Genomic DNA, 1,246 nt, shown 5'->3' with positions numbered 1-1,246 from the left:
CATCTTCTTTCTTAGCTCTCTAAATCTCTTTCTATCCATAAACCCTCACACTAGACCTCTTTTATACTCTTATAGTGTTATTTGCATGAATCTAGTTTATATGTCAGAACACTCCAAGCAATAAATATCAAATATAAACACGGAAGGTATTACATGGTAGGAGCATTTGACCATCAGGCAACCTAAGTGTCTAATATAGCCTACCTATACCACTAAGTGAAACACCTTTGATCTTAACTTCTTTCAAAATTGAAGTTGATGTTCTTAGAACATAAATGCTGAAGTGCTTAGAAATGAAATTTTATTGCAACTGCAAGTTATTTTTGAATGGTTCAGTCAAAAAGATGGATAAACAGAGAGGCAGACATATAGAAAAAACTAATATGACAAAATGAAAACTGTTGAATCTAGATGTATTGGGTATATAGGAGTTTATTATACTAGTTTTTAAATTTTTCTACATATTTGACTGCTGATAAGAAAATTTCAAGGTAAAATAAAGCTAGAAAAAAATTAAAACTCTTCTATTCCCAATTTCTATGACTGCACATATCTAAACCATACCGCATCCTTGATCCTTCCAAACTATCCCCCATCTGGAATTCTCCATTTGTACAAATGTCACCTTATTGAAAAACTGTGGTTTGAAATGCTGGAGTGATCCTTGATTCCTCTCTTCTTTTCTGGCTTCATATTCACCAGTCCCAAGTCTACTGAGTCTTCCTTTCAAATGTCTTATATGTTTCACTAACTTTGCATTCCCACTGACATCACCTTTAATACACCCCTGGTCTATTTCAGTATCCCAATTCCTAACTTGATTTTCATGTCTACTATGTCATCATCAATTTTATCATGTCATTTCCCTGCTCACAAGTTTTCAATGGTTCTTATCTACCTCTCAAATGTTGTCCCTGACTACTCCCATATACAACCCCTGGACTTCAGGCAAACAAGTCCATTTCTCATTGCATTCTTGTAGTCATGCTTTAGTCATACAACTCTGCTGCCTGAAATAATTTCTCCATCCCCACTGTAATTATTCAAGCTCTATCAGCTGGCACTTAATACATAAAAACCTATTATTGCTGTTCTTTTTACATATAAACATTATCTCATCGCTACAGATCTATAGCCTTGGTCCTCATTATACCCAGAGACTGCTTAAGAATGTAACCTCCAGGAGTGCAGAAATCTTGCCTTTCTTGATCACTGACTTATCTCCAGCACACAGGAAATATATATT

The sequence above is a fragment of the Homo sapiens genome, chromosome X (assembly GCF_000001405.40).
Source record: "Homo sapiens chromosome X, GRCh38.p14 Primary Assembly".
NCBI lineage: Eukaryota > Metazoa > Chordata > Mammalia > Primates > Hominidae > Homo > Homo sapiens.
Note: the sequence above shows the minus strand (reverse complement) of the source record.